The sequence below is a fragment of the Homo sapiens genome, chromosome 19 (assembly GCF_000001405.40).
Source record: "Homo sapiens chromosome 19, GRCh38.p14 Primary Assembly".
NCBI lineage: Eukaryota > Metazoa > Chordata > Mammalia > Primates > Hominidae > Homo > Homo sapiens.
Window position 1 is genome coordinate 36054826 of NC_000019.10, and position 22061 is coordinate 36076886.

General features: G+C 50.8%; 1 protein-coding gene across 20 annotated transcripts in view; it reads left to right on the forward strand.

The window, feature by feature from the left end:
• WDR62 (WD repeat domain 62) overlaps window positions 72-22061 on the forward strand; it is a 56249-nt gene continuing 34259 nt past the window's right edge. For 8 of the 20 annotated variants that reach the window (XR_001753671.2, XR_001753672.2, XM_017026665.2 and 5 more), the window contains exons 1-9: window positions 72-323; window positions 3955-4046; window positions 5143-5205; window positions 11133-11190; window positions 11432-11602; window positions 12481-12618; window positions 13003-13185; window positions 16731-16891; window positions 18517-18706. Coding sequence is in view for 18 of the 20 variants with exons in the window: in XM_017026665.2 (XP_016882154.1) it covers window positions 147-323; window positions 3955-4046; window positions 5143-5205; window positions 11133-11190; window positions 11432-11602; window positions 12481-12618; window positions 13003-13185; window positions 16731-16891; window positions 18517-18706 (1233 nt within the window). In the remaining 2 variants the exon portion in view is untranslated. Of the gene's footprint in view, window positions 324-3954; window positions 4047-5142; window positions 5206-11132; window positions 11191-11431; window positions 11603-12480; window positions 12619-13002; window positions 13186-16730; window positions 16892-18516; window positions 18707-21014; window positions 21166-22061 lie in introns of those variants that run through there. The other 12 variants (NM_001411145.1, XM_047438657.1, XM_047438659.1 and 9 more) reach the window with 3 other exon arrangements.

The following is a 22061-nucleotide window of genomic DNA, read 5'->3' on the forward strand; positions in this document are numbered from 1 at the left end:
ATCCCTGCGATTGGCTAGGCCGGGCCCGTCGCGTCCAATAGGCGGTGGCGCCGGCTTTCCCGCGGCTGTTCGCTGTTCCAGTGGGTCGTGGCGGTGGCGGCAGCGGCGGTTAGGGGATGTAACGGTCGCCCGCCTCCGGCGTGACGATGGCGGCCGTAGGGTCCGGAGGCTATGCGCGGAACGATGCAGGGGAGAAGCTGCCCTCTGTCATGGCGGGAGTTCCGGCGCGGAGGGGCCAGTCCTCCCCGCCCCCCGCCCCACCAATCTGCCTACGGCGGCGGACGCGACTCTCGACGGCCTCCGAGGAGACGGTGCAGAACCGGGTGAGAAGCTGCTCGCCATGTCTACCCCAGTTCCAGGCTTCCTAGGTTTCCCCTAGTCCCGTCCTGAGAACTGTGGCCCCGACATCAGCCCCCGGCCAGTCCCCTCAGGTTGTTCCCTGCCATGCCTCGTCCCCTAACCCCCGCCCCTTTAGCCACGGCCCCTCCCACTTTCTCCTCGCTGCTTTCCCGGCTCCACCCTCAGCGTTGGAGCAATTCGGGGGTTCCTCGCTGGTTCCCACCCGTGGAAATGCATTTTGCTTCTGTAAATCACAGCCTAGTCCTGCTATATTTTAACCCCCGTTCTATCGCCTTTAGACGTCACGATCATAGCTCACTGCAGCCTCACTGCCCTGGCCCCCGCTGAGTCATTAAGGTCCCTTCGAGGGTTCGGTCCAGAGTGTTACCTGCCCCAACTCTTCCTCGCTTCTACCCCGCCTTCTCTCACCTTCTGCGATCTCTATCCTTTTTCCTCACCAAGGTGGGATTCTTAATCCATATTGTCACTCAAAACTATGAGAAAGACGTGAGAAGTTATTTATAAAATCTCTGCAGTGCTGCCTGGGGAGGAGGGCGTACAGAACAGTTCCCTAAATCCTGAGACAGAAAAATGGAAAGAAATGATTTCACAGTAGGTAGAAGGAATTCCATTAGCACAGCGGCAATTAAAAAAATTGTTTTCCAGCTGTGTAGGCACAAAATCTGTTTTTATAAAATGGAGATGATAAGAACCATACTACTGGTAGGGCGCGGTAGCTCACGTCTGTAATCCCAGCACTTTGGGAGGCCAAGGTGGGCTGTTCACCTGAGATCAGTTCAAGACCAGCCTGGCCAACATGGTGAAACCCGTCTCTACAAAAAGTAGAAAAATTAGCCCGGCATGCTAGCGCGCGCCTGTAATCCCAGCTACTCAGGAGGCTGAGGCGGGAGAAATCGCTTGAACCTGGGAGGCGGAGGTTGCAGTGAGCTGAGGTCATGCCACTGCACTCCAGCCTGGGCGACAGAGTGAGACTCTGTCTCAAAATAAATAAATAAATAAATTATACTATTGCATTGGAGGGAAATGAAATTTTAATTGTGATCTTCTTGGCACGGAGTCCAGATAAAGGGAGGATACCTGGTAGCTGCTGGTGGAGCTTGTTCCTGCCCCATGACTTTCTCCTGCACTGTGATTATACCGCCCACTCCTGGCTACAGGGCTCTGGCTGTACCTCCCATGTGCTCTCTGTCACCAAGGTTCAGTCACACTGGCCTGCTTTTGGTTTTCCTGAGGCTCCATATTCTTTTCTGCCTCCTGGCCTTTGTGATTGGTGAGTCCTCAGCCTGGGCTTTTTGCTGCAATCTGCCTGTCTGGCTCCTTCCCATCCTTCAAGTCTCAGCCTGAATGTCGCTATCTTGAAAGGCCTTCTCGAACCCCATTCTAAAGCAAACAGCCACCTTCATCTGTCACCCAGCACCCTATACTTCATAGCCTTTATCTTATATGTTCCTGAAAGTGCCCTTTGAGCTATTAAACTACATATAACAATAGCAAATTCAGAGAGGCGTTATAGCAAAGTGGCTAAGAGCACAGACTGCTGCTGATGGTATGGTTGGACCCAGGCAGCCTGAGCTTAAACTTTAGTCCTGTTCTTCCTGGCAGGTTATGAACTTCGCTTTTTCTTTTCTTTTTTTTTTTTTTTGAGATGGGGTCTTACTCTGTCATCCAGGCTGTAGTGCACTGGGTTGATCTCGGCTCACTGCAGTCTCAGCCTCCCTGGGCTCAGGTGATCTTCCTGCCTCAAGCCTCCTGAGTAGCTGGGACTGCAGGCGCATGCCACCATACCTGACTAATTTTTTTGTGTTTTCTGGTAGAGACAGGGTCTCGCCGTGTTGGCCAGGCTGGTCTTGAATTACTGAGCTCAAGCGATCTGCCTGCCTCGGCCTCCCAAAGTGCTAGGATTACAGGCGTGAGCTACTGTGCCCCGCCAAGTTATGAACTTATCTGTGCCTCAGTTTTCTTATCTGTAAAATGAGAATAATGATGTAGAAATCTCTCATAGGGTATTTGTGAGGATTCAATGAGGTTACATATCCTAGGCACTTAGAACAACACTGGCATATGGCAAGTACTCTATTCATGTTAGCTAATACTGATATTATGACTGTGTATTTGGGGTAATATTTATTTATTTTTTTTGTTTGGCAGCACAGAGTTGATCTGTCTTGCAAAGACCTAGTCTAAAAGTGACCATTCATACCAGGGCCCAGTAATGCTGATCGACAGATAAGACAACATGAGTGCCATGGCTTGGTTGTTTGTGTTGGAATCCTGGCACTACCCCTTCCTGGATGGGTAACCCCTCTTGGCCTCTGTTTCCTCAACTGTTTTGTTCCTTTTTTTTTTTGAGACAGAGTCTCACTCTGTCGCCCAGGATGGAGTGCAATGGTGCCATCTCAGCTCACTGCAACCTCCGCCTCCTGGGTTCAAGCGATTTTACTGCCTCAGCCTCCTGAGTGCCTGGGATTATAGGCATGGGCCACCACACCTGACTAATTTTTTTGTATTTTTAGTAGAGACAGGGTTTCGCCATCTTGGCCAGGATGGTCTCAAACTCTTGACTGAGCCACCACACCCAGCCTTGTTTAAATTTTAAATATTACTGTTCATGTGGTTTTTTACTCGTTGAAACCGCTCAAATTTCTGGACTGTGAATCTGATGTGGGGAAACTGTCTACCTTTGGTCACTACTGTGTCTCTCCTGTACAGCCCAAAGTGCTAGCTTTGGAGCCAGACTGCCTGGGTTTGTATATCAACATTGCCACTTGCAGATGTAGGATCTTGGGCCTCAGACTTCTTACCTGTAAAACAGGGGTGATAATAGAGCCTTCTTCGTGGCTTGTTGGGAGGATTCAAGTCTTTTATACATATAAAAGTACTAAGAGGCCGGGCACAGTGGCTCATGCCTGTAATCCTAGCACTTTGGGAGGCCGAGGCGGGTGTATCACCTGAGGTCAGGAGTTCGAGGCCAGCCTGGCCAACATGGTGAAACCCCATCTCTACTAAAAATACAAAAATTAGCCGGACATGGTGGCATGTGCCTGTAATCCTAGCTACTCAGGAGGCTGAGGCAGGAGAATTGCTTGAACCTGGAAGGCGGAGGTTGCAATGAGCCAAGATCTCACCACTGACTCCAGCCTGGGTGACAGAGCAAGACTCCATCTCAAAAACAAACAAAAAAAAGTACTTAGAAACTTATTCACAGGTCACCTTCTCACCGCGGCATTCGCCCCCTTCCCCTGTGCTCCTAACCTCCTTATCTGCTTTCTTCTCTCTTGCACCCATCATTACTTGGCATCTATTTCACATATTTGTTCTGCTCCTTTTCTATGTTCTACATACCCATCACCAGTAGAATGTGAGCCCCCCGAGGGCAGGGATTTGTCTCTTCCTCACCACTCTGTGCTTTTCACCTAGCGTTGTATTTGTCAAAGGAATGTTGAGAGAACAAGTGTTAGCTGCTGGTGGATGGCGTGGCCACAGAAGCTCAGTGTGGGTGTTGAATGTAGCAGGACCTGAATGGGTGGCCAAGGCGGCTGCACCATGTGGTGCTGGCTAGGGTGGGTGCCTCTGACTTGGGCTTTTTCTTTGCAGGTGTCACTCGAGAAGGTGCTTGGCATCACAGCCCAGAACAGCAGTGGCCTAACCTGTGACCCCGGCACAGGCCATGTGGCCTACCTGGCAGGGTAAGCAGATAAGGGCCTCGACGTCTAATCATTGCTAGGGAATTTGGAGCTTGGAACCTGAAGCCATCCGTAAATCGCTCTGAGCCTCATATTTTTCACCTGTAGAATGTGGAGAATGGGGCCTGCCTCTGAGAGCTGTGGAGAGGATTCCATAGCCCCCTCTCTGTCTAGAACAGTTCCTGGCATGTAGTGAGTGCAATGAAAGCCTTTATTATGACTACAGGGGGGAGGTGACAGCGATTCTGGGAAAGACAGGTGATTAAAGTCCACGCTGTGGTGTCAGGTAACCTGGATTTGTGTCCCAGCTCTGCCATGTATGCTGCTCTCTGAGCCTCTTCCTCTGCCTCTGTAAAACAGAGCTGGTGACCCCCTCTGCTTGCATAGTTGAGAAGACTGAAGAAGATGCTACAGCTGTTCATTCCATAAATACTCATGTAGCCTGGCACTGTGCTAAGGACGTCCCCTCTCTGGGTTTGTTTCCTTATCTATAAATGGGCCTAAATAGTCGTGACCTGACCTGGCAGTTGTGAGGATTTAAAACAATTACATCCCTCTTTCTCTCTTTTTGTTTTGTTTTGCTTTTTTGAGACAGAGTCTGGCTGTGTTGCCCAGGCTAGAATGCAATAGTGTGAATAACAGCTCACTACAGCCCCAACCTCCTGTGCTCAAGCGATCCTCCCATCTTCACCTCCCATGTAGCTGGGACTACAGGCACATGCCACCACAGCCAGCTAATTTTTTTTAGTGGAGATGAGATCTCACTCTGTCGCCCAGGCTGGTCTAAAACTCCTGAGCTCAAGTGATCCCTCCTGCCCCATACTCCCAAAGTGCTGGGATTATAGCCAGCTTAAGGTCTTAATTAGCCTAGGGCCTGACAGACATTACCTCAGAGGAAGTGTTGGTTTCTATTTAAGAACATAGCAATGTTAAAGTGCCCTAGAATTCTCAGCGTAAACACCTGGAGGAGGGGGAGGAGGAGGAGACCAGAGAGAACCGAGGGAGCTTGTTTATTTGTGGGCTTTTCTGGTGGGAATAGAATCATCCCAGGACCCCAACACTCCCCACAGTTGAGGCACATTTTCCTCTTTCTTCCCAGCTGTGTGGTGGTGATTTTGGACCCCAAGGAGAACAAGCAGCAGCACATCTTTAACACCGCCAGGTAGGCTGAGGCCTGGGCCCGGGGCAGGGGTGGAACCAGGGGCTTGGCACGCCTCCCCTCCCCTACACAGCCTGGAGATACTCATGGGTAGGTGCTCACTCATTCACTTACATGTTGGCTCAGCAGCATTCGCCTGTGCTGGGTGCTGTTCCGTGTGCTGGGGACACAGCAGTGACCAGAGGAGACGAGAATCTCTGCTGGCTAGAGCGAGACAGACTGTAAACTAGTCAGCAAATTACGGGCTGATCATGATCAGTGCTATGGAGGAAATGATGGAGGATGTCTTCGGGCAGGTTTGTGGGCAGAGAATAGGAGGAAAGCCTTATCAGAAGGCTCAGGGAACGCTGCCTTGACTCTGAGACCTGAAGGAAGCGAGAGGGTGACCCATAAGAAGCTGTAGGGAGAGCGCTTCAGGCAGGGGGCACAGGAAGGGCAAAGGCCCTGCAGTGGTTAAGAATCTCCGGCGCTTTAGAAGCAGCCAGGGATCTGGGTGCCTGGAGAAAGGAGCAGGGAAGATGAGGCTGGACCAGGCAGAAGCCACATCCCGTAGGCCTTGCAGCCTTGTAGAGGGTCTGCATAGCATGCTGAGTGCAGAGAGCAGCCACAGGAGGGCACCACAGGCCAGGAATGTGCTTTTCACCCCCAGCCCTCCAGCAGCTCTATTCCCTGCTTTGCTTTTCTCCACAAAATTTGCTCCCATCTCTGATATGCTGTCCAGTTTCCTCATTGATGGTATTCACTGTGGGTCTCCCTCAGTGTGAGCACTCTTGAGAGCAGGGACTTTCTCTGAGTTCATTTCTGTGTCCCTAGCACCAAAGAGCAGTATCTGGCATATTGATGGCTATTTTCTAAGAGAAAGACTTAACATGATTTGGGTTTTAGAAAGATCCCTTCAGCTATAAGTTTACTGGGGAAGGACCCGCTCCTCTGCCTTGGGGCTAACTGATCACTGCTACCCTGGGGATGTGGTCCCAATAGGGCTGTGACCTTTGGAAGGCACACCATGTCCCTCCTTGGCATAGCTCAGGCTCAGCTCCTTTGGCCCAGTTCTCCAGGTGGATGGATAAGGAGTGGGTTTTCTCCTGCCCTTATGGTCCCTAAGGTACGGTCCTTAAGCTACGGCAGGTTCTTGTTATCTGACAGAAGTGCATTCCCTCTTGAAAGTGGCTTTTTGGACCTTTTGCTCCTAACTGTGGGTTCTGTTACTGGTGATAAGGGCAGAGCTGGGTTCCATTCCTGGCTCAAGCGTCTATTCACTGTGGAATCTCAGGTGAGACACTTCTTTCAGAGCCTTGGTCTCCTCTGAAAATAAAATAGCTGCCTCCAACTGGGAGAGCATTCATAAGGCAGCAGCTACAAACCAGAGTCACACACACTTGCCCAATATAGTATGTTTTAAAGGTTGGATAAGTGGACAACATTTCAAGTTTTTTAACACAAAAATCCAAATGTCCCTTTTGTTTGGAGAAGTGAGAAATTCTCTGGCCTCTGGGGCCCAAATTCCCCTGTGGCAGTGAGGGGCTGAGCTTAGTGAAATTTGTCAGGCCCGTTGTGGCCAGTTCCTCACACCTGTGTTGCCTCCCTAATCCCTGTAGGCAGTGGAGTGGGTGGCCTGGATCTATAGTAGATGGTATGCAGGTGTCCGCCCTTGGCCACCAGTGGGTGTGCATTAGGAGGTGGTGTGGCCAGTGTGGGGATTTTCACTCCAACTGCATATCAGAATCACCTGGTCCCTGTGCCTCACCGCCCCCCCACCGCCACGCAAGAGAAAGCCAAATCAGTTGATCTGGGATGAAACTTGGGCATTGGCAATTTTGAGACTTTTTATATTGAAATAATTTCAGACTTAGAATAGTACAAAGAGCTCCTATATACCTATGTACCTTTCACATATTTCACAAATGTTAGCTTTTTTTTCTTTTTTTTTTTTGGACACAGAGTCTTGCTCTGTCACCCAGGCTGCTGGAGTGCAGTGGCACAGTCTCAGCTCACTGCAACTTCCACCTCCCGGGTTCAGGTGATTCTCATGCCTCAGCCCCCCAGGTGGCTGGGACCACAGGCATGTGCCACCATGCCCAGCTAGTTTTTTGTGTTTTAGTGGAGACGGGGTTCATCATGTTGCCCAAGGTGGTCTTGAACTCCTGAGCTTAGACAGTCTGCCTGCCTCAGCCTCCCAAAGTGCTAGGATTACAGGTGCGAGCCACTGCACTTGGCCAAATGTTAGCATTTTACCACATTTGCTTTATCATTTTTTGTCTATATACATATTAATTTGTTCTGAACTATTTGAGAATCAGTTGTAGACATGATGCCCCTATATCTCTAAATACTTCACGCCAGGCATGGTGATTCACGCCTGTAATCTCAGCACTGTGGGAGGCCTTGGAGGCAGGAAGATCATTTGAGGTCAGGAGTTTGAGACCAGCCTGGGGAACATGGCAAAACCCTGTCTCTACTAAAAATACAAAAATTAGCCAGGCCTGGTGGCAGGCGCCTGTAATCCCAGCTACTCGGGAGGCTGAGGCAGGAGAATCGCTTGAACCCGGGAGGCAGAGGTTGCAGTGAGCCAAGATCATGCCACTGCACTCCAGCCTGGGTGACAGAGCAAGAGTCCGTCTCAAAAAAAAAAAAAAAAAAAAAAAAAACTTAATCAAATAAATACTTCAGTGTGTATTTCCTACAAAAAAAAATGACAATCTTTTTAAACTGTAATACATCCAGCAAAATCAGGAAATGAAAATTGATATATCACTCTCATCCACTCCCCAGAGGGCACCATTCAGGAGTCAGCCTTTGTCCCATGAATGTCCTTTATGGCCAAAGGATTCTGTCTAGAATCACACATTGCATTGAGTTGTCCCCTCAGTCTCTTTCAGGCTGACGTGGCTCCTCTGTCTTTTCTTGACTTTCAGGATCTTGACATTTTTTTTTTTCTTTTTGAGATGGAGTCTCTGTCGTCAGGCTGGAGTGCAGTGGTGGGATCCTGGCTCACTGCAACCTGACTCCCCAGTTCAAGTGATTCTCCTGCCTCAGCCTCCCGAGTAGCTAGGATTACAGGCATATGCCACCATGTCCGGCTAATTTTTGTATTTTTAGTAGAGCTGGGGTTTCCCCATGTTGGCCAGGATGGTCTCGATCTCCTGACCTTGTGATCCGCCCGCCTTGGCCTCCCAAAGTGCTGGGATTACAGGCGTGAGCCACAGCACCTGGCCACTTTTTTTTGTTTTTTTGTTTTTTGAGACGAAGTCTCACACTGTCGCCCGGGCTGGAGTGCAGTGGGGCGATCTTGGCTCGCTGCAGCCTCCACCTCCTGGGTTCAAGCGATTCTCTGCCTCAGCCTCCTGAGTAGCTGGGACTACAGGCATGCGCCACCGTGCCTGGCTAATTTTTGTATTTTTTTTTAGTAGAGACGGGGTTTCACTATGTTGGTCAGGCTGGTCACGAACTCCTGACCTCGTGATCCACCCGCCTCGGCCTCCCAAAGTGCTGGGATTACAGGCTTGAGCCACTGCACCCGGCCAATCTTGACACTGAGGATTGTAGACGAGGTATTTTGTAGAGTGTCCCAGCATTTGGGTTTGTCCAATGCCTCCTCACGGGCAGACTCAGGTTCTGCATCTTTGGCAGGAACAGACCAGAAGGGGTGCTGTGTTCTTCCTGGTGCCTCCTCTCAGGAGGTCTCCTATGACTGGTGGTGTTCACTGGGAGCACTTGGCCAAGGTGTTGCCTGCCAGATTCCTCCACTTCAAAGCCTCTCTTTTCACCTTTGTGATTAGCAGGTATCCTGGGGACATCTTTCCTGAGACAGTGCAAATATTATCTTGTTCCTCACCAAACTTTCACTCAACTAATCTTAGGCTTTGACACTTTTCAGATGCTCCCCAGGGAAATCTAATGTACAGCCAGGACTGAGAACTACTGGCTTAGAGGTCAGGGCTCTGCCCTGTCTGGTTAGGTAACTGCAGGCAGGGGACTTCCTTGTGTTGCAGTCACCTCATCTGCCAAGTTGGTTCATGAGAGCCCTGACTCCATGAAGCATGCTTGAGGAATCAGTGCACTGATGGCCAGACAGCATTTGCCAGAGGGCCAGGCACAAGGTCAGGGCATGCGACAGGTTAGAGGTGGCTACGGGCAACAGAAACCCCTCCACAGCATGGCTTAAAACCCAAGAGCATGCTCTTCCTGCATGTCATAAGTCCAGAGGTGGGCAGCCCAGGGGCTGTGTCTCTGAACGCCACATTTTTTTTTTCTGTCTCTCTTTTTGAGACAGAGTCTCACTCTGTTGCCCAGGCTGGAGTGCAGTGGCGCGATCTTGGCTCACTGCAAGCTCCGCCTCCTGGGTTCACACCATTCTCCTGCCTCAGCCTCCCAAGTAGCTGGGACTACAGGCGCCCACCACCACGCCTGGCTAATTTTGTTTTTGTATTTTTAGTATAGACAGGGTTTCACCGTGTTAGCCAGGGTGGTCTCGATCTCCTGACCTTGTGATCTGCCCACCTCAGCCTCCCAAAGTGCTGGGATTACAGGCGTGAGCCACCGCGCCCAGCCCCACTTCTTTTTTTCTCTAGACGGAGTCTTGGTCTGTTGCCCAGGCTGGAGTGCAGCAGCACGATCTTGGCTTGCTGCAACCTCTGCCTCCCGGGTTCAAGCAATTCTCCTGCCTCAGCCTCCCGAGTAGCCGGGATTACAGGCTCCTGCCACCACACCTGGCTATTTTTTGTATTTTTAGTAGAGGTGGGGTTTTGTCGTGTTGGCCAGGCTGTTCGCGAATTCCTGACCTCAAGTGAACCACCCACCCCTCTGCCTCCCAAAGTGCTGGGATTACAGGCGTGAGGCACCGCACCCGGCCCCCATTCCTTCTCTCCTGTTCCACCCCATTTATTGTGAGGCTTCTGGTCTTGAAGTCACTTCATGGCCCAAGATGGAGTTCTGGCTGTCGTGTGCGTATTTCAGGAGGGGAACTGGTAGGAAGCAGGGCAAAGGGTTCCCTTTGACGAGTATTTCAGGAAGTCCCACACAGCATGTCAGTTTACTTCTCCTTGGCCAGACTAAGTCATGTAGCTGTACCTGCATAGTTGCAAGCATAAAACTGGGGTTATGTCAGTAAGGAAAGAGAGGCGAGTGGATATCCAGGAGGCAGCTTGCCCTGTTTGTTGCAGTAAGGAGCCACGGGAAGCCTGGGAAGCAGGTTGACTTGATGATGAATATTCCATGAAGTTGCCAAAGTCTCACTTAGCGACATTTACTTAGTTATCTACACACCAATTTACCATCTCACGTAGGGAGACAATTATTAGATTGTTAAGGAACAAAGGTAAAAATAAGATTAAAAGAGAGAAGGGAGTAGAAGGAAACCATACAATCTGGGAACAGTGAATCTTGCTGCCAGAAACCTACGAGCTAGCCTGTTCATTCAGTGCTTGTGCAGGCTAGCTAGGAGTATCAGAAACATTTTGGCTCTTTATGGATTTTCCAGAACACCTTGAGTATTTAGCAGTGGAGCACAGGCTGCAGGCTACCTTGATGTGATGCCTGCCAGGATCCTCCCATCAGCACCACCCGTTTAGTTAGGCCAGGCCTGTACCATTTCCTGCATCTCTATTTCTCAGTGTTACAGGGTGGATAGGGTCTTAGGATACCCACTGCGGCAGAGGGAGAAGAAAGCAGGGTCCGCATACAGTGTCTACTCCATTTGGGTTTGGTGTCTCAGGGCGGAAGGGGCCTTTGCATTTACCCCCATTTCTCTGTGTGCTTTGCTGGGCACACCAGCGGCACTGGCTCTGTGGGAGCTGCTTGAGCTCACCTCTGCTGGCCTCTTCCGAGGCTTGGGAGGCAGAAGAGGGCAGAGTCCTATCAGAGTCGCCAGGATGGGGTCTGGCTGGCCACCCTCAGCGGAACCAGTGATCAGCTCTTTTCTTTATCCCCAGGAAGTCTCTCAGTGCTCTGGCCTTCTCCCCTGATGGGAAGTACATAGTGACAGGGGAGGTGAGTCGTGATCGTGACTGAGTGGGAGTCGGGGGCTGGGGGGTCTTGGAAGCCATTCCTTCTGCTCCCGGCAGGCCTGGGAGTCCCTGGAATAGCTCCTTCCTGGGCCAGAACAGCCCTGTAGCAGATGGGGGAGGTGGCTTTTGGGCACATCCTGTGGCAATGCCATCTTCGGCCTTGACAACCCTCTAGCCCTGCCCAGTACAGAGCCCAGCAGCAGTAACGACCCCACCTTCCCTAGAATGGGCATAGGCCTGCTGTGCGCATCTGGGATGTGGAGGAGAAGAATCAGGTGGCGGAGATGCTAGGCCACAAGTATGGTGTGGCGTGTGTGGCCTTCTCACCCAATATGAAGCACATCGTGTCCATGGGCTACCAACATGACATGGTGCTCAACGTCTGGGACTGGAAGGTAAGAGCCGACCAGCAGGCCTGTGGCAGGCAGCCAGCTGCCACAGCATCCTATGTCTTGGGCACAGGGAGAGCTACATGAGAGGACGCAGTAAAGTGCTCACTCACCCAACAGATAACAGCTATTGAGCACCTGTGACATGCTGATCCCTTATTGTAGGGCACAAGGCAGGCTCCCAGCTAGAAGCATTATACATATTTTTATATTGACCAGCTGTGACCTTAGGCAAGTGACTTAACATCTCTGTGAGTCTGTTTCCTCCTCTGTTAGATGGATATAGTAGTACTTATCTTGTTGAGTTGTGAGACTTTAATGAGTTGATAAGCACTGGAAGGCTGGGCTTTGGAACAGCTGTGGAGCTGGCAGAAGTGGGTACCAAGTCCTGGCTCTGCCCATAACCCACTATGTGACCTTGAGCACATGACATCTCCCCCTCTGAGCCTGGTAGGGTTGGGGAGAAGCGCCTCCCTCGTGGGGCTTTTGAGGGATTGAGGAAATTTCATGGGTTATCCTGTGAAGGGCTCAGGGCAGGGCCCAGAGCAGGAGCCCCATCTGTGACAGCCATAGGTTGTGTTGTCCTTACATCCCAGCCGTGACTGTCCCCAATACCATGTGTGGGCTGCAGAGCTTAGACCCTTGGAGAGAGCTCTGGAACATACTGTCCCATGGGGACCATTCCAAGCCTCTGTCCCTTCCTCTGTCGGTGAGGAATGAGCAGGGTGCCCCACATAGGTTTCCCCATACAGCAGCTCCCTGGAGGGTCCCAGGAAGACAGACTTGGAGTGGGGACGAGCAGGGAGTTCCAGCCTGAGGGCAAAGGCACAAACAGTCCAGTGGAATGAGTGCTGGCATGAGCTTCTCTGCACTTATTCTTCCAGAAAGACATCGTAGTGGCCTCCAACAAGGTATCTTGTAGAGTCATTGCCCTCTCCTTCTCAGAGGACAGCAGCTATTTTGTCACTGTTGGGAACCGCCATGTGAGGTTCTGGTTCTTGGAAGTCTCCACTGAGACAAAGGTGAGTTTCTGTCCCTGCCCCTTTAGCCAGGCCCTGAGGGAGTCACCATCGGTGGCAGCATGGTCTCCTGTTTCTCCCTGAGATTTGAGGGCAGCGGTCTCGGGCCATTTGGCCTCTCAGGGGCCCAGCTGCTGCTTCTGGGCCTACTCTCAGGGTGCTGATGCACAGGCCCTGCCAGGAACCCCCTGACCCTGGGACCAGCTCTCATTCTTGGACTGCTGCTGTCCAGCCCCTCTGTCCAGAGTGGCAGGGTTCTAGTGTTTTCTTCCCTTCTCCATTTGGAAGAGCTTCTTAGAGTTCTCCTGTTTTGTTGTGTCCTATCATCTGGTCATGCAGGGCCCAGCTGTGTGGACAAGTATCTCACTACGCCCTCTGTGTCTCCAGGTGACGAGCACAGTGCCCCTTGTAGGGCGCTCGGGCATCCTGGGCGAGCTGCACAACAACATCTTCTGTGGTGTGGCCTGCGGTCGGGGCCGGATGGCGGGCAGTACCTTCTGTGTGTCCTACTCGGGCCTCCTCTGCCAGTTCAATGAGAAGAGGGTGCTGGAGAAGTGGATCAACCTGAAGGTACCACCTCCCTCTCTGCCATCAGCTGGACAGACTCTTTCTCGTGATATGTGTCTGCAGGGGTGCTCATCAGCATTGACCACACAGGTTCTGCTTATGTGACTAGTGGTGAATGACGCCCACTCTCTGAGCTTAAGGTTCCACATCTGTAAAATGGGAGTACTGCTGCCCTCCCCGCAGAGCTGATAAGGAAGTCACGTGAGATAACATAGGCAAGGCAGTGAGCACGGTGCTTGGTACCCTGAAATGGGCTCAAGGTGACAGTTGTTTTCCCATGACTATTTGATCTACTTCACATTTCTTTTCTCCTTTGAGCACTCTGGCTGGTAGAGGATTGCATTTTTTTTTAATTAATTTATTTTTTTTTATTGATCATTCTTGGGTGTTTCTCCCAGAGGGGGTTTGGCAGGGTCTTAGGACAATAGTGGAGGGAAGGTCAGCAGACAAACAAGTGAACAAAGGTCTCTGGTTTTCCTAGGCAGAGGACCCTGCGGGCTTCCGCAGTGTTTGTGTCCCTGGGTACTTGAGATTAGGGAGTGGTGATGACTCTTAACGAGTCTGCTGCCTTCAAGCATCTGTTTAACAAAGCACATCTTGCACCGCCCTTAATGCATTTAACCCTGAATGGACACAGCACATGTTTCAGAGAGCACAGGGTTGGGGGTAAGGTCATAGATCAACAGCATCCCAAGGCAGAAGAATTTTTCTTAGTACAGAACAAAATGAAGTCTCCCATGTCTACTTCTTTCTACACAGACACAGCAACAATCTGATTTCTCTATCTTTTCCCCACCTTTCCCCCTTTTCTATTCCACAAAACCGCCATCGTCATCATGGCCCGTTCTCAATGAGCTGTTGGGTACACCTCCCAGACGGGGTGGTGGCCGGGCAGAGGGGCTCCTCACTTCCCAGAAGGGGCGGCCGGGCAGAGGCACCCCCCATCTCCCGGACGGGGCGGCGGCAGGGCGGAGGCGGACCCCCACCTCCCTCCCTGACGGGCCGGCTGGCTGGGCAGGGGCTGACCCCCACCTCCCTCCTGGACGGGGCGGCTGGCCGGGCGGGGGCTAACCCCCCACCTCCCTCCCGGACGGAGCGGCTGGCCGGGCGGGGGCTGACTCCCCCCACCTCCCTCCCGGACTGGGCGGCTGGCCGGGCGGGGGCTGACCCCCACCTCCCTCCGGGACGGGGCGGCTGCTGGGCGGAGACGCTCCTCACTTCCCAGACGGGGCAGCTGCCGGGCGGAGGGGCTCCTCACTTCTCAGACGGGGCGGCTGCCGGGCGGAGGGGCTCCTCACTTCTCAGATGGGACGGCCAGGCAGAGACGCTCCTCACCTCCCAGACAGGGTCGCGGCCGGGTAGAGGCGCTCCTCACATCCCAGACGGGGTGGCGGGGCAGAGGCGCTCCCCGCATCTCAGACGATGGGCGGCCGGGCAGAGACGCTCCTCACTTTCTAGACGGAATGGCAGCCGGGAAGAGGCGCTCCTCACTTCCCAGATTGGGCAGCCGAGCAGAGGGGCTCCTCACATCCCAGACGATGGGCGGCCAGGCAGAGACGCTCCTCACTTCCCAGACGGGGTGGCGGCCGGGCAGAGGCTGCAATCTCGGCACTTTGGGAGGCCAAGGCAGGCGGCTGGGAGGTGGAGGTTGTAGCTAGCCAAGATCGCGCCACTGCACTCCAGCCTGGGAAACATTGAGCACTGAGTAAACGAGACTCCGTCTGCAATCCCGGCACCTCGGGAGGCCGAGGCTGGCGGACCACTCGCGGTTAGGAGCTGGAGACCAGCCCGGCCAACACAGCGAAACCCTGTGTTTGGTGGAGACCAAAAAAATACGAAAACCAGTCAGGCGTGGCGGCGCGCGCCTGCAATCGCAGGCACTCGGCAGGCTGAGGCAGGAGAATCAGGCAGGGAGGTTGCAGTGAGCCGAGAGGGCAGCAGTACAGTCCAGCTTTGGCTCGGCATCAGAGGGAGACCGTGGAAAGAGAGGGAGAGGGAGACCGTGGGGAGAGGGAGAGGGAGACCGTGGGGAGAAGGAGAGGGAGAGGAGGATTGCATTTTTTAAAAATTGGAGGTACCATTGATTTAATAACTTTTCAGTCAAAAAAGACTACACAAAATACATAAACTTTTATTTATTTTTATTTATTTTTACTTTTTTTTTTTTTTTGAGATGGCGTCTCACTTGTTGCCAAGGCTGGAGTGCAGTGGCGCAATCTCAGCTCACTACAAGTTCCACCTCCCAGGTTCAAGCAATTCTCCTGCCTCAGCCTCCCAAGTAGCTGGGATTACAGGTGCCTGCCACCACGCACAGCTAATTTTTGTATTTTTAGTAGAGACAGGGTTTTACCATGTTGGCCTGGCTGGTCTCGAACTCCTGACCTTTAGTGATCCATCCGTCTTGGCCTCCCACTGCGCCCGGCCATAAACTTTTAAACTAAAGCATGATCTATCGATACATTGCAGAGCTTCTTTCCTTTAGTATCTGAAGGTTTGAGTCAAAGCTGTTTTCCCATCTGGAATCAGTTGCCCATTTGGCTATCCGCCCGAGCGTTGTGGTTTCCTCTCCTGTTCCTGGCCTGCCTTTGTGACTCACTCTGGAGATCACCTTCGAGGTTAATGGCTTGTGGAAGAGTTCCAAGTTTTATCTCTGTCCTAGTTGGTTAAACATCATTTTCTCTTTTTCAAGCAAGTGAAAAGCTTTCAATAGATAGATGTTTATTTCCTAAGCACTAAATGACTCATAAATTAAGTCCCTGTAGATTTGGAAAAACTCCTTAAACTGTATCTAGAGGTCTAGCACTTCCTAGTAGGATAGACAGTCCTTTCTAGATACTGTAACTTTTTTCTGTACCGCTTTGGAGTACAGTCTTTATGAAGTTGTTTGTAAGCAAAAGGGAATAAAATTTAAGCCTAAAGGCTGGGCGCGATGGCTCACATCTGTAATCCCAATGCTTTGGGAGGCCAAGGCAGGTGGATCACCTGAGGTCAGGAGTTCAAGACCAGCCTGACCAACATGGTGAAACCCCATCTCAAAATACAAAAAATTATCTGGGTGTGGTGGCGGCCGCCTATAATCCCAGCTACTCTGGAGGCCGAGGCAGGAGAATCACTTGAACCCAGGAGGTGGAAGTTGCAGTGAGCCGAGATTGTGCCATTGCACTCCAGCCTGGGCGCAACAAAAAACTCTATCTCAAAAAAAAAAAAAAATTTAAGCCTAAAATTCAACCCTGTTACTACAAGTGACTTACCTGAAGTTGCAGTCTGCTGAACAGGTATTTTCCATACACAGCTACGTTTCTCTGTAGACAGCAGTGACAATTCTGTTTCCGTTCATGCCTCTGCCTACCTGCTGGCACATGTCTTTCAATAGCAGCAGTATGCTATATCCTGATTTCACAAATCTTAAAATATGCTAAAATGGGTGTCTTAGACCCAAGGAACTGTAAGTCTTCTCTGGAGGCCTAAGGCTGCTCTGTCAGTCCCCATATCCCCGGGCCAGGCCACGTGAAGCACCAAATCCACTGGGGTCCCTTTTGCCCCTACAGGTCTCCCTGTCTTCCTGCCTCTGTGTCAGCCAGGAGCTCATCTTCTGTGGCTGCACAGATGGGATAGTCCGCATCTTCCAGGCCCATAGCCTGCACTACCTCGCCAACCTGCCCAAGCCACACTACCTTGGGGTAGACGTGGCACAGGGCCTGGAGCCCAGGTACTGCCCTGTGGGGAGAGGGAATGGGAGGGGCCCACCCAGAGTCTGTCCACTGGCATTCATCCATGCTTCCAGATCCATCTATCTGTCTGTCCATCCCACAAATACCCATCATGACTCTCAGCCCTGGGCATTACAAAGCAGAAAAGTCCTTGCCTTCCGAGGCAAGCCTCACAGTGAGAAGTGAGGCTGGGTAGGGGGAAGAAACAGTGAGAAAACAAAGGAATAATATCATTTCAGATAGCGGTCAGCATGGTGAAGAACAGTGCAGAGCAGGTGTGAATGTGGCGGAGTGTTTCCATCCACATGGCTGACCCCTACTAAGTGGCTGCTAAGTGCCAGCCCTGGGCTGGAAGCAGGACATGCCTATTATAATGAAGCAGCAAAATCTCTGCCTCTCTGCAGTATAGCAAGGGGGCTCGATGATAAGCAAGTACACGAAAAAGATAATTTCAATAGGCATGAGTGCTTTGGGGAACACAGCAGGGACTCGGGAAGGAGAGTGACTGGGGTGGGCTGTGCTGATTGGGTGCCTGGTGAGAAGGAGCTGCTGTGTGGAGAGCTGGGTCCCAGCAGTTGAGGTGACAGCACACTGGGCTTGTTACGTTGCAGGAATAGTAAGGGACTGTGTGGCCAGAGCCCAGTGTGTCCGGGGAGGATGGTGGGAGATGAGGCCAGTGTGGGGCGCCTGTAGTCTATCCTCAGGTCAGTGGGCAGTTGCTGGGGTTTCGGGCGTTGGGGTAAATGACCAGGCCTTACATGTTAGGTCCCTCAGCTGCTGTGTCGAGAGTGGATAGAAGCACTAGGCTGTGGCTTTCTTCTCCTTTGTTGCAAGTCTGTTTTATGGAATTGGGGGCTACCTAACCAGGGGGTGCCAGGTGCCTAGGGCTGCCTCTTTGTGGATTTCTGGATGCTAGCTCCTGGGTGCCTTTTCCACGACAGGGCCTGAACAGGGGAACTGGGTGTCATGAAGGAAAGGAGGGGGCGAGCAACCCACAGGCAGTGTTGTGTTGTAGTAGTCGGGCTCACAGCTCTGCTGTCTTCTGTTGTGCTCTGTGACCTTGGGAAGGTGACTATACCTCCCTGTGCTTCCGTTTTCTCATGTGTAAAATACAGTACCTAGCTCTTATTGTGGTTGTGAGAATTTATTGCAGGTAAAACTCTCGGCCTGGCACAGTGTAAATGCTCAGTAAACTGTAGCCTTCATAGGGAGACCCCAGGCCAAGGGACAGCTCCCCAGCCTCCTTAGGACACAGAGGCTTTTTGATCATGCGTTGGTGAGGCCAAGAAGAGGTGGGACCTGAGATACATGCCTATTATCTTTCTATGCTCAGAGAGAGAGCAGGAGCTTGGGTTGGGTGAAATGATGGGCGATAAATGTTCATAGGAATCAAAAACTCAATTGCTCTCGGGGCCAGGCAAAAATTTCCGGTTTGTAGCCTCTATATGAAAAGCAAAGCAGAGGAAGAGGGAAGAGGGAAAAGTAGAATTGGAGCAGGAGAGATGGATGGCCACAAATACCATGAGGGATGGCATTGCCGGGGAGGCATCTCCACTGTCACTAGAGGTGGCTGTCACTACTCAGTGACATTGATGGTGATTGATTACCCATGTGGCCTTGTTAGCTTCCTCTTCCACAGGAAGGCGGAAGCAGTCTACCCAGATACAGTGGCACTGACCTTCGACCCCATCCACCAGTGGCTGTCCTGCGTGTATAAGGACCACAGCATCTACATCTGGGATGTCAAGGACATCAACAGAGTGGGCAAGGTGTGGTCAGAGCTCTTCCACAGCTCCTACGTTTGGAACGTGGAGGTGAGCCCCCCCCCCACCCCCTTGCCCCTGCTTGGCCTCTGCACAGTTCCCCACAGTTTGGGAACCCATTCAGTAATTCCTTCAGAAGATACTCATTGACTCCCTCCTATGCATCAGGCCCTGTCCTAGGTGCTGAGGACACAGACACAAAATCCCTGCCCTTAACAAGCTCACATTTGGATGGGAAAGGAAACCTGGAAACATCATCAGTGAATAACACGCCAAGCAGCAGTAACCCTCTGAAGAAAAATGAGGCGGGGAAGGGGAAGGGGAATGCAGGTGGTATTCTAGAGAGGAGAGGGGTCAGGGAAGGCCTCCCTGAGGACATATGAGCAGAGACCTGCAGGAAATCGGGGAGTGAGACCTGCAACTGCTGGGGAGAACCACAAGCACAGAGGCCCTGCGGCAGGAACATGCACTCCACAGAGAGCTTTGCTGTGGAGGTCGTTTATGTATTTCACTGCTTTTTTTAAAAAGGAGTTGAAGACGGGGCATGGTGGCTCACACCTGTAATCCCAACACTTTGGGAATCTGAGGCGGGAGGATCACTTGAGTCCAGGAGTTTGAGACCAGCCTGGGCAACACAAGACCCTGTCTCTACAAATAATTTTTAAAAATTAGCCAGGCATGGTAGCACACACGTGTGGTCCCAGCTACTCAAGAGGTGGAGGCAGGAAGATCACTTGAGCCTGGGATGTCAAGGCTGCAGTGAGCTGTGATTGTGCCACCACACTCCCACACTCCAGCCTGGGTAACAGTGAGACCATGTCTAGGAAAAAAAAAAAAGTTTTGAAGTTTTTATTTTCTGAGAATGAATTTGTGGGTTTTTAAAAATTCTCTAAAGTTAACCAGGCACAGTGGCTCATGCCTGTAGTCCCAGCACTTTGGGAAATCGAAGTGGGCAGATTGCTTGAGTCCAGGGGTTCGAGATCAGCCTGGGCAACATGAGGAAACCCCGGCTTTACAAAAAATACATAAAAATTAGCCAGGCGCGCCTATAGTTGCAGCTACTCGGCAGGGGCTGCGGCAGGGGGGCTGAAAATTTCTTACTGGGAATGTTTGTCCTAGAGAAATTGGGTTTTCAGTGGCCAGATTCAGGATCGTGAGAAAGAACTTTGTCCTTTTGAATAGGCAGCATTCAGCCTATGACTCTGGTTGAATCTGTCTGCCTTCATGGGGCTGACGTTTTTGTTGACAGCACTTTTTTTCCACTCAAAGAATGTTTTTTAATAACTTTTAAAATTCCTGTATGAAATTTTTAAAAATTTGGGATAATAGGTGAAATATTACAGATAAGGCTACAGTCCACATTGATGACTTCCCTGCCCCCAGTTCTGCTCTCTCTCGCCCTCACCATTATCAATTTTATTATGGGTGTCTTCAGTTGATTTTCTTTGCATCTCCTTATTGTTTATGTATATAGCTGTTCAACAACAGTATCTGTGGATAGATCTTTTCATCAGTTCTAGAAAATTCTCAGCCAATACTGCTTCTACCCTCTTCTCTCTCTTTTTTTTTTTCAGACGGAGTTTCACTCTTGTTGCCCAGGCTGGAGTGCAATGGTGTGATCTCGGTTCACTGCATCCTCCGCCTCCCGGGTTCAAGTGATTCTCCTGCCTCGGCCTCTCAGGTAGCTGGGATTCCAGGCATGCGCCACCACGCCTTGCTAATTTTGTATTTTTAGTAGAGACGGGGTTTCTCCTTGTTGGTCAGGCTGGTCTTGAACTCCCGACCTCAGGTGATCCGCCTGCCTTGGCCTCCCAAAGTGCTGGGATTACAGGCATGAGCCACCATGCCCGGCCTATTCGCTCTCTTCTAAGGTTCTATCTAACTCTAAGGTTCTATCTGTATTCTTCATGTTTCTGAAAATAAAAATCACACAAAAGATATGTAGAGTTTATCAATTATTGTTAGCAGCTTTTTTTCCCCCCCAAGACGGAATCTGGCTGTGTTGCCCAGTCTGGAGTGCAATGGCACAATCTAAGCTCACTGCAACCTCCAGCTCCTGCGTTCAAACAATTCTCCTGCCTCAGCCTCCCGAGTAGCTGGGATTACAGGCAGCCGCCACCACGCCTGGCTAATTTTTGTGTTTTTAGTAGAGATGGGGTTTAACCATGTTGGCCAGGCTAGTTTCAAACCCCTGACCTCAAGTGATCTGCCTGCCTCGGCCTCCCAAAGTGCTGGGATTACAGGCGTGAGCCACTGTGCCTGGCCTGTTAGCAGCTATTGATGCTCAGTTCCTGGACCCTTTTATTTATTGAGGGTTGCAATATGGTGATATTCTAAATCTATAATTTATTTTTATTAGTTGGACTACTTACGTGAAGAGATATTTGCTCTCATCTGCCATTTGGTCACCCAGTGCTATACTTCATATAGGAAAGGCAGGAGAAATACTTGATTCTTTCCCTTTATTTACCAGTTTTCAAGATAATGAATTGGTTCCCTATCCTCTAAAGGTAACTAGTTTTATTTAATATCATTATAAACTCATATATATTTAAATATATCAGATATGTTTTAATCTATTGTAATTATTAACTTTATTGGAGCTCATATCATCCCATCTTTGGCCAGTGAGAGCCTCTTAACATTGGCTCCTGAGCCCTTTGGACATGACCCTAGTATTTCTTGATAGCCACCTTGCTGCCTGGGATGCCAATATGTTCCAGTCTCATCTTGTACATTTCCTGTCACACATCAGGAATCAACCATTTCTCGAAAAGACCATGTTTTTTTTTTTGGGCTGGGTGCAGTGGCTCATGCCTGTAATCCCAGCACTTTGGAAGGCTGGGGCAGGGGAATTACCCGAGCCCACGAGTTTGAGACCAACCTGGCCAACATGGTGAAACCTTGTCTCCACTAAAATACAAAAAATTAGCCGGGCATGGTGGCAGGCGCCTGTAGTCCTAGCTACTTGGGAGGCTGAGGCATGAGAATTGCTTGAACCCGGGAGGCAGAGGTTGCAGTAAGCCAAGATCAAGCCACTGCACTCCAATCTGGGTGACAGAGGGAGATCCTATCTCAAAAAAAAAAAAAAGAAAAAAGAGAAAGAGAAGGCCAGGGTTTTTTTTTAGTACAAATTGGGACTTCAGAATCACAGGTTGGGTGTTAGGGATGCTCATCGCTATTGGGTCGTTCTTCCAGAAGCCTAGTTCTTAAGGACACAGGGGATGGTGGAATTAGAATATCCCCAGTAACTCATTTGCTTTTTCCCACATTATACATGCAACAGTCTGAGAATGGACAACTTTTCAATTCTGAAGATAGTTAAAACAATTGTAATGCATATGTTCTCTCTGTTCTCTCCAATTTTTAAAATAGTTATACTATATTTACAGGATCTGAATATGTA